This window comes from Homo sapiens, chromosome 19, assembly GCF_000001405.40.
Source record: "Homo sapiens chromosome 19, GRCh38.p14 Primary Assembly".
NCBI lineage: Eukaryota > Metazoa > Chordata > Mammalia > Primates > Hominidae > Homo > Homo sapiens.
In genome coordinates this window covers 11,004,369-11,018,623 of record NC_000019.10, presented here as the reverse complement: position 1 = coordinate 11,018,623, position 14,255 = coordinate 11,004,369, and the positions used below count along the sequence as shown (strand labels likewise).

General features: G+C 51.2%; 1 protein-coding gene and 1 pseudogene across 25 annotated transcripts in view, besides 1 other annotated feature; both read right to left on the bottom strand.

The window, feature by feature from the left end:
- Window positions 1-14,255, bottom strand: part of SMARCA4 (SWI/SNF related BAF chromatin remodeling complex subunit ATPase 4) — a 101,244-nt gene that overhangs the window by 43,650 nt on the left and 43,339 nt on the right. For all 25 annotated transcript variants that reach the window (NR_164683.1, XM_011528198.2, NM_001128844.3 and 22 more), the window contains 3 exons: window positions 10,601-10,722; window positions 8,093-8,243; window positions 5,512-5,675 (listed from right to left, as the gene is read on the bottom strand). Coding sequence is in view for 24 of the 25 variants with exons in the window: in XM_011528198.2 (XP_011526500.1) it covers window positions 5,512-5,675; window positions 8,093-8,243; window positions 10,601-10,722 (437 nt within the window). In the remaining variant the exon portion in view is untranslated. The remainder of the gene's footprint in view (window positions 1-5,511; window positions 5,676-8,092; window positions 8,244-10,600; window positions 10,723-14,255) is intronic.
- Window positions 6,618-6,916, bottom strand: RN7SL192P (RNA, 7SL, cytoplasmic 192, pseudogene; annotated as a pseudogene).
- Window positions 8,274-8,774: an enhancer, noted in NCBI's record as "H3K4me1 hESC enhancer chr19:11120526-11121026 (GRCh37/hg19 assembly coordinates)". NCBI's record gives its function as "activates a minimal SCP1, AML or CMV promoter by ChIP-STARR-seq in primed H9 embryonic stem cells {active_cell/tissue: H9 hESC(primed)}" and the evidence as "EXISTENCE:reporter gene assay evidence [ECO:0000049][PMID:30033119]".

Sequence of the window (14,255 nt, the reverse complement as noted above, 5' to 3'; positions counted from 1 at the left end):
CTTCAGAGCACAGGCTTCACGCCCAGAGCCAGGCTAGCAACAGTGCTGTGGAGACCTGAGGATATAGGAGACACCAAACAGTCTTTCTGCCACCCTCCAGCCACGGAAGGTTCCTGACTGTGAGAGAGAACGAGGACAGTGAGGGGCGAGGCGGGGCCTGGCTCAGGTGGCAGGCGGGAGGACAGGGATGGGAGGGAGCGGCAACTCGTGGCTGTTCCCCTGTGGGATGACCAGGGCTGGAATGAGGGAGGACATGGGGGCAGGCAGAATGCAGTGGGGAGGGGTGAGTCACCTGAGACCGACAGCCTAGAGACTGAGGAGAGGGTGGAGGCGGTAATAAAGCTGAGTCCCAAAGGGGACGGGCTCTGGGAGGAACTCTGGGGCAGGGAGTTTTCAGTGGGGGAGGGAAGCCACTCAGAAAGTCTAGACGGGGTGGTCCGTAAAGACAGGGCTCGAAGCTGGAGTCCCAGGGACTACTCGTGGTTTGCCCCCAAGCAGCTCCACGAGGGAGGTGCTGTGTCCACCATGAACCCATCTCCAGCCCCGCTGGAAGCCACAGCCAACCAGGCGGCACAGCCAATAGACAGAAGGACGCATGGCTGTGGTGAAGGCTGGGGAGAGTTCCTGAAGAAGCGTGGGGAGCAGAGGCTCAGCAGCCTTGCGCTTCTGCTGCCTTTTGCCCTGCCCACTCTCCTAGAACTCTTTCCTGCCCACTCTCCTGCATGAGGCGAGGGAGGCAGTGCAGCCGTCCTGCAACCATGAGGTAAGGAGCCTGAGGGTTGGAGTCACCCAAGAATGACTGGGCAGAAACCTGGGGGAGGCTGGGTCCCTGATGGCATCTTGGAGCCACCGGACCTGGCCCGTAGGGCCTGACCCTGTGCTTCCGCTGACTCAGGAACAGTGAAACCTCCCTGGAGTGATGGGGACAGTCAGCGCACCAAGGGAGAAGCCGGAGGTGTGCGGAGCATCTGCACTGGGAGGGAGAAGAGCCAGGAGCAAGGGTCAGGAGGGGACTGAGGGGACAGGTCCCAGAGACAGAGGTCCAAACGGAGGCAGGACAAGCAGCTCATGGCAGGAGGCAGCAATTCCCAGTGAGAGGGCCGGCACAGCCGGATGCCCATACGCCGTAAACATTTCCTAGCGCGCGGGCCCTCTTCTGGCCTGCAGGAGCTGGCGTTCCACAGCATGGACGCTTGCCCAGGTGGGGCGCAGTGGGAAAGACTGCAGGAGCACCCACCTCACAACCTCACTGAAGTAGGGGAAGAAGGTGACCTCTATCACCCTGGAAATGGAATCTGACTGCAATCTGGAGGTCTGAACACACAAGGAACTGGCCCCAAGGCCTGCGCTCTAGTGGCTCAAGATGCTTCCCGGAGGTACCGGCTCACTACTCTGAAACTGTTGTCCACGGAAGCTGAGAATGGGCGCACACACAGGGTGGAAGTGTGAGAAGGAACCTGTGGTCCTCACTCAGAGCCGCAGACAGTGGTATGAACTCACGTTCAGCTTAACACAGAAACAGATGCCGAGGCAGAGAAGGCCTTTTAGACGATACGTGCACAAAGCATCAGCACGCGCACATGAATCTCCTAGCACTGACCACTGAGAGGGCCCCAGGAGCAATGACACCCCAGAAGCAACAGGCCCATCCAGGACCCAGGTCTTGGTTCCCAAAACCATTCTGTAAGAAGGGAAACCAGGGCTCCTTGGAGAAATGGCTGATTTGAGGGAGTGGGCGGGAAATAGACTACATGAGCCTGCAGCATCTCTTGGTGCCAAAAAGCAAGAAAGTCCTCAAAATTCACCCGATGCTGGGGGCGTGTCAAAGGACAGAAGAGCCAACTGAAAGCACTCCCAGTGGCCAAAGCTGGATGGATTTGAGCCACAAAACAAAAAAAACCCAGCCACTGGTGCGTAGCCTGGAGTACTAAATAAATATCCGTGGGTCCATACTCATATTAACAAATGACTGAATACATAGAGAAGACACAATTCTTCCAGGGAGAATTCTCCCAGGCCAAATCTGAAAAAAACTGAAGCAACAAAATAAATAATATTTGTTCACGCCCACACTGATATAATAATTACCCAAACAAGCACATGGGGGAGACGGGAAAGCTCTTCCTAACGGTGGAATTCCAATTAATTTGTAGAGAAGAGCGGACAGAAACAGGTAACCATGTATTTGGCAACTCTCATGTAATTATTTTTTCAGGCAAGACTTATCTGACGTTTGCTGCTATAGTTTGGGTATCTGGCACCTCCAAACCTCATGCTGAAGTCTGATTTCCAATGTTGGAGGTGGGGCCTGGTGGGAGGCATCTGTGTCATGGGGGCCTCCCTCGTGAACGGCCTCGTGAACCCTCGTGAACGGCCTGTACTGTACTGGGGATGGGGGATGAATGAGTTCCTGCTCTCTGAACTCTCGTGGGAGCTATGGTTAAAAGGAGCCCGGCACCCCCGCCTCCCTCGCCTCCTCCCTCCCCATGGGATCTCTACACACTGGCTCCCCTTTGCCTTCCACCAGGAGTGGAATCCGCCTGAAGCCCTCACCAGGTGCCCAGTCTTCCAGCCAGCAGAATCATGAGCCAAATAAACCTCTTTTTTTTTTTGAGAAGGCGTTTCATTCTTGTTGCCCAGGCTGGAATGCAATGGCACGATATTGGCTCACTGCAACCCCCGTCTCCCAGGTTCAAGTGATTCTCCTGTCTCAGCCTCCTGAGTGGCTGGGATTACAGGCATGCGCCACCATGCCTGGCTAATTTTTTTTTGTATTTTTGGTAGGGACAGGGTTTCACCATGTTGGTCAGGCTGGTCTCAAACTCCTGACCTCAGGTGATCCGCCTGCCTCGGCCTCCCAAAGTGCTGGGATTACAGGAGTGAGCCACCGCGCCCAGCTAAACCTCTTTTCTTTATCACCTAGTCTCAGGTATTCCTTTATGGCAACATGAAATGGAGTAGAAGAGATGCTGAAATTATTGAGGAAAGTAGGAAGAGAAATGAGATATTCACAAGTGTCGAAGTACGTTCCCACGAGACAGTTATTAACGGAAAGTGTAACTCCTAGGTTTACAGTGGGAAACCCAGCAGGCACCTTGCCCGAGACACCAAGGCCTCAACATCTCATGCCTTCCCCGCTAAGGCACATCAAGCAGGGCGTGGTGTTGCTCCACGCGATCACATCGGACAAACCCAAATTGAAGGAGAGTCTACCAAAGGTCCGATCAGGATTCAACAGCGTCAAGCTCGACCAGGACAAAGACGAAATGAGGAACTGCCACAGGCATGCCACACAGACGTGACAGTGTGGGATCCTGGACCAGAGCAAGGCCACTTGTGAGAAAACTGACAAGATTGGTAAATAAGGCCTCTGGTTTGCTATTAGTCCTACGTCCATGTTATCTTCCTGGTTTTCATAATTGTCTTGGGGTTATGAAAGAATGGGGAAGATGGGTGAAGGGTGCATAGCAATTCTTTACACTAACTCTACAATGTTTTCTAAGAATGAGGTCGCCAGGCACAGTGGCTCACTCCTGTAATCCCAGCACTTTGGGAGGCCAAGGCGGGCAGATCATGGGGTCAGGAGTTCAAGACCAGCCTAGCCAACATGGAGAAACCCTGTCTCTACTAAAAATGCAAAAAAGTTAGCCGGACATGGTGGCGCGTGCCTCTAATCCCAGCTACTCGGGAGGCTGAGGCAGGAGAATCGCTTGAACCCAGGAGGCAGAGGTTGCAGTGAACCAAGATGGCACCACTGCACTCCAGGCTGGTCAACAGTGCGAGACTCCTCAAAAAATAAAAAAAAATAAAAATAAATGAGATCATTTCAAAATGAAAAGTTTAAAAAAATTTTTTAAAGCAAAAAATTAACAACTAAGAACCAAGGCTGCAAAACAACAGCACCCTGGAGAGCGGCGTTCCAGCAGAGATGGTGATCTGAGAAGTCTGTAAGTGAAAGGAGGGAAAATCGGGAACTGCAGAGGGCGACTGCCACTGCACCCATCAGCCTCCAGGGGAAGAAGGGCAGAGGGGAGCCAGGAGGTGGGCAGAGCCGGAAGGAACAGCCTCCAGACACAGACAGGGGACAGAGCTCAGGCAGGTGCAGCAGGAACGCTGTAGCAATCTGGGTCTGACCACGAGGGGAGGTGCAGCTACCTGCAGCGCTGTGCACAAGGACGCCCTGCTCCTTCAGAGCAGTCTGTTCTACCCGCCACGTAGGAAGCAGGGAGATAGAAGAAAGAAACAGTTCCACAGTAAACCTGGGAGGGTTCTGGGGTCCTCACCTTTCCTCCAGTCCTCCCTGCAACAGTCAGGACGTCAGGCCTACCCTATGGGTGTGTGACCCATGGGGCCTGGCTGTCTTATAGGCAGAAGGGCATTTTCCCATGGGGTTGGAGCATGGGCATGCCGCTCCCCAGCCTGCCAGGAGTTGGGGGTCCGCTGCTGACTCGTGGCTGTAGTGGTCCCAATGAGTGCCTGGTTGGAGTTAGGGGCTGTGCTCTAGGGCCAGACCAAATGCTATGCTGAAGTTTGCCCAATCAGACCAGACTAACCCCCAGGCCGGTGACTGTCTGCTTGCTGGACATGTGACTTGAACTGGACCAGTAAGAGCCGGCCCTGGGGCTTTCTGGGAAAACCCTAGGCAGGTCCCCCTTTAGTGCAGGGGCTGAGCTGGGTAGAGAGATGTCGAGAGAGGTGGGCAGGGGGGCGGACTCTGTTTGCAGGGAGAAAAAGGCCGGTGGAGCCAGGCAGTGGCAAGTGAGAGCCTCTCAGGGTGTCCGGATCCCACCATGCCCAAGGACCTGGGCCATGCTGGGATGTGCCCGAGGGCTCTGGTGGCCCTTGCAGGGCACTGCACAGTGAGGAAGTAGAGACTGTTCAATGGAGCCTCAATGGCCTCACCCTACTTTTCTAGTGGGAGGTTCTTGTCTCCTGCGACTCCCCTGCATGGACTTTGCTGGTTGTGGGACTTGAAAAGGACACCAAGGACATCCCGGGAGAGGGACCCCAGGCCTCCCCAGGGGTGGAGGGGATGCACAGTCATGCCCCCACTTGATCCGGGACCCAGAGGCAGAGGCTGTGACGGGTGGAGCTGTGCACAGCCCCGAGGCTGGTGGAGCAGTCCTGACCCCCAGCAGCTCAGGATGCGACTGTACCTGGAGACAGGGCCAATACAGAGGCAATGAAGTTAAAGCAGGCCATTAGGATGCACCCTCATCCAACCTGACCCATGTCCTTCTAAGAAGAAGAGATGAGGACACAGACACGCACAGAGGAAGGACCATGTGAAGACACAGTGAGATACATGTAAGCACGTATCCCTGCAAGCAGGAAGAGAGGCCTCAGGAGGAAGCAACCTGCTACACCTTGACCCTGGACTTCTGGCCTCCAGGAAAACAAATTTCTGTAATTAAGCCACCTCGTTTGTGGTATTCTACTGCGGCAAACTTAGGAAACAAACACAGGAGCGTGTGAGCGGCGTGTGGGATGTTGCTGGCAGCGGGTACTCACGAGAGAGGCACGATGATGAGGAAGGGCCCATTGATGCGTTTGTGCTCCATGAGGTACGTGATGAGCGCGATGGTCTGGATGGTCTTCCCCAGGCCCATCTCGTCGGCCAGGATGCCGTTCAGGTTGTTGTTGTACAGGGACACCAGCCACTCCAAACCTTTGATCTGCAAGGACAGATGCGGCCACGCCAGGACTGAAGGCCGGGTCGGACACCAGAGGGTCCTCCCACTTCAGAGAGTCAAGACACCGCCAGCCACGAGTTCTGCCTAAGCCACATCCCACCCTCTACTGCCTTTACCACGGATTTTTCCTCTGAACCAAACTGATTCTTTATCGCTTAGCCTCATCCTTAGCAATAACGTCTGTGAAGCTGCAGGATGACTGTGCGAACGATGGACACGTGTGACATTTCTAATACACATCTCAACAGCTCACTCCCACCTGTTACATTGTCTGCCTGTCCATGCCCCACACAGCACACAGGAAAAACCTGCCCACACCACGGGACACTTGCACTCAGGAAACCAAGAGGGCTTCAGGGCGACTTCGTGAGGAATTCACTGCCTGAACATCATTTCAAGATTAAGAGAGGGATTTCCAAAGCCTGGGAGCTTTCTGAAATACAGGCCTTAAACAGAAGACTATTTGCAAACTGAAGATAACGTTATGAAGGAAAATTTGGAAATGTTCGTAATGGATTGAGGAAGTAAGTTCTGGCCAAGTTCTAATTCATTTTTTTTTTTTTGAGACCGAGTCTCACTCTCACCCAAGCTGGAGTGCAGTGGCCCGATCTTGGCTCACTGCAACCTCTGCCTCCCAGGTTCAAGCAATTCTGCCTCAGCCTCCCAAGTAGCTGGGATTACAGGCATGCACCACCATGCCCAGCTAATTTTTTGTATTTTCGGTAGAGACAGGGTCTCATCATGTTGGCCAGCCTGGTCTCAAACTCCTGACCTCAGGTGATCCACCCGCCTTGGTCTCCCAAAGTGCTGGCATCACAGCCATGAGCCACTGCGCCTAGCCAAGTTCTAATTATTTTAATTGCATGGGACTCTTGGAAAATTCCACTAACCATGAGCTTTGCCTTTGTTTCATTATTGTTTTATAGAGATGGGGTCTCGCTATGCCACCCAGGCTGGAGTGCAGTGGCTCTTCACAGGGACTATCTCACTACGGATCAGCACATCAGTTTTGACCTGCTCCATTTCTGACCTGGGCAGATTCGCTCCTCCTTAGGCCACCTGGTGGTGCCCCACTCCTGGAAGGTCATCATATTCATGCTGAACTTAGTACAGACACCTGATCGACATAGGGCGCTACAGCTCAGAAGTCCTGGGCTCGGGCTCTCCTCCCACCTAAGCCGCCCAACTATCTGGGACTACAGATGTGTGCTACCACCCCCAGCTAATTTTTAAAATATTTTTGTAGAGGCAGTGTCTCACTATGTTGCCCAGGCCCACTTTCAACTCCTGGGCTCATGCGATCCTCCCATCTCAGCCTCTTAAGTAGCTGGGACTATAGGTGCATGTGCAGCTTTGAATGTTGATACTAGCACAAAAGGTTTAAGAGTTGTCTTAAAGAAAGTTGGGGCTGGGTGCACTGGCTTACATCTGTAATCCCAGCACTTTGGGAGGCCAAGGTGGGCGGATCACCTGAGGTCAGGAGTTTGAGACCAGCTTGGCCGACATGGTGAAACTCTGTCTCTACTAAAAATACAAAAACTAGCCGGGCGTGATGGCACGCACTTGTAGTCCCAGCTACTCAGGAGTCTGAGGCAGGAGAATCACTTGAACCCGGGAGGCAGAGGTTGCAGTGAGCTGAGATCGCGCCATTGCACTCCAGCCTGGGCAACAGAGAGGCTCCGTTTCAAAAAAAAAAAAGAAAAGAAAAGAAACAACCAAATTGAAAACCAGAGAGAGCTGTTCTTTGGTTGGAGTTGTACTGGTTGTCTTGTGGGGCCTTGTAATGAGCTCTGGATGGCAGGCCGCATTAAGAGCATGAGCAGCTCTGTTTCGTGACTGTCCCAAGTCAGGCCCAGGTGAAGAGCTTCAGAGCCACCAACTTTTCACCCTCACACAGGACCTGCTACCTCATCCCCAGAAGAAAGAGCGGAGTCCAGGGCTGCCGGCTCCTAGATCTAAGCTCCTGACGCTCGCCGTTTCACACCACACAGAGCTCAGGTAACCTGTCCTGAGCATGCAGATGCCCAGATCTGAGCTCCGGCCCTGGTTCAGTCCTACACACGGTGCGATGCTGAGGAGGTGCTGCACCTCTCTGCTCCTCAGGTGGCCCCGTCTCCTCTGTGAGGCCACTGGAGTGCAAATCGCTCCCACTCTGCCTGGCACATCGGGCACCCAGTAGACACTGACTTTCTGCTGTTGCACGTCCTCCTGGCAGCTAACCTACCAGACCACATCTCTGCTTTACACATGGGGAAACCGAGGCTCAGAGGGGAAGAGTGCATTGCCCACAAAGAGCAAAAGGTGAACTCAGGTCTGCCTGAGGTCTGAAGCCCGCACCACCTGGGAACACCTGCACCGAGGCAGCTACGTGGCGGTGGCCTCCCCACCCCCTACCTCACCTGGTACTGTTTGAGGACACCATTGACCATAAGCGCTGACTGCTTGTCCACTCTCTCAGTGACAGCATGGGCCACGGCATAGTAGGACTGCAGGCCACGTGCAAGGGCCTGGGACACGCCATATTCATCATCGACATCTTGCTTGGCATTCCTGGGAGTGAGATGGAGGTGCCGGGTAAGGACACACATTCCTATCTGTGACAATGTGCTGGCTCCTGACACAAGCTCTGCGGAGTGGCCCTTTCTGCTGAATGACCTGTGGCCAGCACTGTAAGACACATAGAGGTGCAGCCGGACAGTGTGAGGCCAGGCAGGGCAGCCCGCACTAAGCCTGAGGGGTCCAGACTGGACTCCTGGGAGCTCTGGGTCCTGATTGCACCACCACAGTACAAGAATTCTGTCACTCTGATGGGCGTGGTGGCTCACGCCTGTAATTTCAACACTTTGGGAGGCTGAAGCAGGTGGATCACTTGAGGCCAGGAGATCAAGACCAGCCTGGCCAACATGGTGAAACCCCATCTCTACTACAAAAAACAAAAATTAGGCTGGGCACAGTGGCTTACACCTGTAATCCCAGCACTTTGGGAGGCCAAGGCATGTGGATCACCTGAGGTCAGGAATTCTAGACCAGCCTGGCCAACATGGTGAAACCCCGTCTCTACTAAAAATACAAAAATTAGCCGGGCGTGGTGGCAGGCGCCTGTAGTCCCAGCTACTTGGGAGGCTGAGGCAGGAGAATGGCATGAACCTGGGAGGCGGAGCTTGCAGAGAGCCGAGATCGTGCCACTGCACTCTAGCCTGGGCGACAGAGCAAGACTCTGTCTCAAAAAAAAAAAAAAAAAAAGTTAGCCGGGCGTGGTGGTGCATGCCTGTAACCCCAGCTACTCAGGAGGCTGAGGTAAAAGAAACACTTAAGCCCGGAGGCAGAGGCTGCAGTGAGTCAAGAGATCGAGCCACTGCACTCCAGCCTGGGCGACTGAGCAAGACTGTCTCAAAACAACAAATAGAATGCTGTCACTTGCCACAGCACAGAAAGACACTCTGCACCTAGCCAGATGCTGATCATCATAGAACCCACCCTTTCTAAGAACAATTCATGAGCCTAAAGGTGAAAAGAAACACAGACTGAACAGGTTCATACAAAACCAGAGCTGTTAAAACTTAGGCAATTTGTAATCTAATCTGAATGTTTTTCTTTTAAAAAGTAACTCTGGCCAGGTGCGGTGGCTCACGCCTGTAATCCCAGCACTTTGGGAGCTCAAAGTGGGTAGATCATGAGGTCAAGAGATCAAGACCATCCTGGCCAACATGGTGAAACCCCATCTCTACTAAAAACACAAAAATTAGCTGGACGTGGTGGCCCGCGCCTGTTGTGCCAGCTACTCAGGAGGCCGAGGCAAGAGAATCACTCGAACCCAGGAGGTGGAGGTTGCAGTGAGCCAAGATCGCACCACTGTACTCCAGCCTGGTGAAGAGCAAGACTCTATCTCAAAAAAAAAAAAAAAAAAAAAAAAAAAAAAAAAAGTGACTTTTATCCACCTACATTTTTTTTTTTTTTGAGATGGAGTCTCCCTCTGTTGCCCAGGCTAGAGTGCAGTGGCGCTATCTCAGCTCACTGCAGCCTCCTCCTCCCCATTTCAAGCGATTCTCCTGTCTCAGCCTCCCAAGTAGCTGGGACTCCAGGTGCACGCCACCACGCCCAGCTAATTTTTGTATTTTTAGTAGAGATGCGGTTTCACCAAGTTGGCCAGGCTGGTCTTGAACTCCTGACCTCAAGTGATCCACCTGCCTTGGCCTCCCAAAGTGCTGGGATTACAGGCCTGAGCCACCACGCCCAGCCCTCACTTGCTTTTTAACAGGATCTATTAATTCCTTACCATAAGCAATGAAGAGATTACTGTGTTAACTGTGATGTGTTACAGGAGCAAAAGATGACAAATATAACCTAAACGCTTGTCACCAAAGGACAGGCTACGAAAATGAGAATATAACGTGACGCAGTATGACACTGCACGCTGAGGACCAGACTGGAAGCACTCTGCACGGACACAGGATGACCTCCAAGAGGGAAGGTTCAGTGAAAATAACAAGGTGCACACCAATGTACACTGGAGATATGTATGCAAATGAAGACAAAAATATGCACATTTTGCTTGCTAATGCAGACAGCATCTCTGGAAGATGACACACAAGGCTGGAAAGTTTCCCCAGGGAGGGTAGTGGAAAGGGAGGGAGCCGGGGAGCAGAGAACGGGGTGAGGAGGGCTTCTCCCGCACACCTGACTGTACCTCGTAAGCATATGGTGAACCATGCGAATGCAATTGCTCTATTAAATCCCTATAAAATACATGAAATGTGAAGTAAATAAATTTGGTCTCTGTAGTTCCACAGTAGCAGCTGGCTGGACAGTGCTGAATGTCAGCTAGGGATGGCTGGGATTCTAGCCACTCCCACCAGCGCCACCTCACAGGAAGCTGGCACAGAACAACCTGTGTCGGGACCCCTTACTCAATGATGTGCCGCGCGTCCACCTCAGAGACGTCATCGCTGTCTGGATCTGGAATCTTCTTCTTCTCCTCCACGGGCAGGGTGGGAGGCTGTGCTGCCTGCGGCTGCTCTTCCTCCTCCTCCTACCAAGAGACAAGCCCATGTCACCTCAGTTCATCCCCCAGAGAGGGGGGACGGGACTCCCATGGGGAGAACAGTCTCAGAAGCAAGTGATCTTCTTACAGCCCTCACCCCCTCTACCTATCCTGGAATGTGTGCTGTTTATTATTTACATCTTTGTTTTAAAATTATGTATTTATTATTATTTTTTTTAATATATGGGAGTCTCAGGATGTTGCCCAGATGGCTTTGAACTCCTCAGCTCAAGCAATCATCCTGCCTCAGCCTCCCCAGCAGCTAGAACTACAGCTATGCACCACCACACCCAGCTCAAATGTTTTGAATTTTTGTAGATATGTAGTCTCGTGACATTCCCCGGGCTGGTCTCAAACTCCTGGGCTCAAGCAATCCTCTCGCCTCAGCCTCTCAAGTAGCTGGGACTACAGGCAAATGCCACCACACTGGCTACATCTTTTTTTTTTTTTTTTTTTTTTTGAGACGAAGTGTCACTCTGTTGCCCAAGCTGGAGTGCAGTGGCGTGATCTCGGCGCAGTGCAACCTCCAGCTCCCAGGTTCAAGCGATTCTCCTGCCTCAACCTCCCAAGTAGCTGGGATTACAGGCATGCGCCACCATGCCTGGCTAATTTTTGTATTTTTAGTAGAGACGGGGTTTCACTATGTTGGCCAGGCTGGTCTTGAACTCCTGACCTCGTGATCCGCCTGCCTTGGCTTCCCAAAGTGCTGGGATTACAGGCGTGAGCCACCGCACCCAGCCCAGTAAACCGTTTTTGGTTTCCCCACCACAGATTCCTGACACTTCCTTTTTTTTGTTATTGTTGAGATGGGGTCTTGCTCTGTCACTCTGGCTGGAGGGCAGTGGTGCTATCTCAGCTCGCTGCTACCTCCACCCACTGGACTTAAGCGATCCTCCCACCTCAGCCTCTCGAGTAGCTGGGACCACAGGCGTGCACTATGACACTTGGCTAATTGTTTTGCATTTTTGGTAGAGACAGGGACTCACTATGTTGCCCAGGCTGGTCTCAAACTCCTGAGCTCAAGAATCTGCCTGCCTCAGCCTCCCAAAGTGCTGGGATTACAGGTATGAGCCACTGCACCCGGCCCCGACGCTTCTTTTAAGGCTATCTCAGGGTATTGTGGACTTTCATTACTAATTAGAAGTAGACTCCATATCTCTCCTACCCCTGTTATACAATGAACATTACACGTCTATTCTCTGCTGACCTACTAAAGCAGTTTATCAGTTGATTCTCTTGGATTTCCTAGGTATTAAATATCTTAGAGCCCACCATCACCCCGGCTAATTTTTGTATTTTTTAGTAGAGACGGGGTTTCATCATGTTGGCCAGGCTGGTCTCGAACTCCTGACCTTGGATCATCCACCCAACTTGCCCTCCCAAAATGCTGGGATTACAGGCGTGAGACACCGCGCCTGGCTTTAAATATCTTAGAACCAACTTTCAATATTTATTGCTTGTAATTTACTTCCAGCTTTACTGACAAGTCTCAACCATCTACAATATGTCTGATAACACTGGCGACAAGAGGCATCTCAGTTTACTGCAAGTTATCTACGAACTTGTTTAATCATTCATGTTGCATCATTTAATGGCTTTCCAGCCTTTACTGCGATTTTGCATAACACATATTGATAACATAGACAAGAATGCATTTCCTTATCTTAAACTATTCTTGTATTGCCATTTAAATCCTACAAATACAACACAGTTGATTGTTCCCTCATCTATAATGGAACTGCTACAAAGCTTTAAAAATATGATCTGCAATTAATCTGTTAAATAATTCCAGTGAAAAGCCAGTAGGATTTCCCTTAGGTCACAAAAAATGATTTTACAGATCACTTGGAATAAACAGGTGGTAATAACACCGACATTTTAGGCAAGAAAATCAGAGCTGGTACAGACATGCTGGAATTAAAATAGGAGTGAGACTTCTGGCTAAACCCAAATGAGGAGGTGGGCAAATTTCCTCCCCAAAAGCAACTATAAAGCCGGACAAATTGACAGAGTGAGCATTTCAGAGCTCAGCGAGTTGACCAAAGGTCTACTAGAATCATTGAACCTTAAAAAACTGAACTTCAGGTGGGAAGAGTGGGAGTTTGTAGCACTTTTACTGTGGGCCACTTTCACTTCTTCTGCCTCAGCTCTGGACACATGAACCTCTTACAGCTGGAGAGCTGCAGGCCATGAGGCTTGGCAGGGAGGTGGAAGGGGCTCAGTCACTTGTAGAAGGAAGCAATGCCCACAGCCAGTGGCACTGCTAATGGAGGTGAGATCAGCCACGGTAGGGAAAAGCGTATCACTGGCTGAGGCTGAGTCTGTGCATATGCAAAGAGACGCCAAAGGACTCAGCAAAGCATAAGTGCCAGGGAGAACCCGACAATGGCCCAAATGTGGAATGCACCTCCTCATACAACTGAACCATCAGCAGGAGAAAGAAGGCGCGTGTCTGAGCACAAACTGTGGCCAATCTTTGGATGACCACTAAGTGACAAAGAAACACTGCCTGCCCCTAATGAACCAGGAAAAAAATCACGAATAAGATAAAACCAAAAAATGTTTAAAAGAATTGAGGAAATACAGCAGAGGCTATACACACTATGCAGGAACCAGATTTCACAGACTGAGCCCCAGGAAATTACTAAACAGACTAGACGCCACCACAACCTCCCAGAGTTTTAAAAGTCAGACTCCAGGGTAGCTAAAGTACGCTTCAACTAAACATGAAGAGGTAAGCAAAAAAATAGGAGAGGCCAGGCGTGGTGGCTCACGCCTGTAATCCCAACACTTTGGGAGGCCAAGGCAGGCAGATCACCTGAGGTCAGGAGTTCGAGACCAGCCTGACCAACATGGTGAAACCCTGTCTCTACTAAAAATACAAAAAAAAATTAGCCGGGTTTGGTGGCATGCACCTGTAGTCCCGGGAGGCTGAGGCAGGAGAATCACTTGAACCCGGGAGGCAGAGATTGCAGTGAGCCGAGATTGCTCCACTGCACTCCAGCCTGGGTGACAGAGCGAGACTCCGTCTCAAAAAAAAAAAAGGCACTATAAAAATAAAAATCTAGGGAAAAAAAACATTGAACACAAAAGGCAGTAAAGGAGGAACAAAAACAGGAGGCATAGAAAAGAAATAGCAAATGTAAGCCCAATCATATCAGAAATTACAGTAAATATAAATGGTCTTAAAAACTCAGTCAAAAAGCAGTCACTGTCATACTAGCTGAAAATGCAAAACCCATATGCTGTTGTAGATTCAGGTTGAAAGTAAAAGAAGGGAAAAAGATGTACCATGTGAACAATAATCATAAGAGGGTTAGAGTGACTAACACAGAACAGACTTTGACGCACTGGTTCGTGCCTGTAATCCCAATACTTTGGGAGGCCCAGGTGGGTGGATCGCTTAAGGTCAGCAGTTCGAGACCAGCCTGGCCAACATGGTGGAACCCCATCTCTACTAAAAATATTTTAAAAATTAGCTGGCATGGTGGCGGGCGCCTGTAATCCCAGCTACTCAGGAG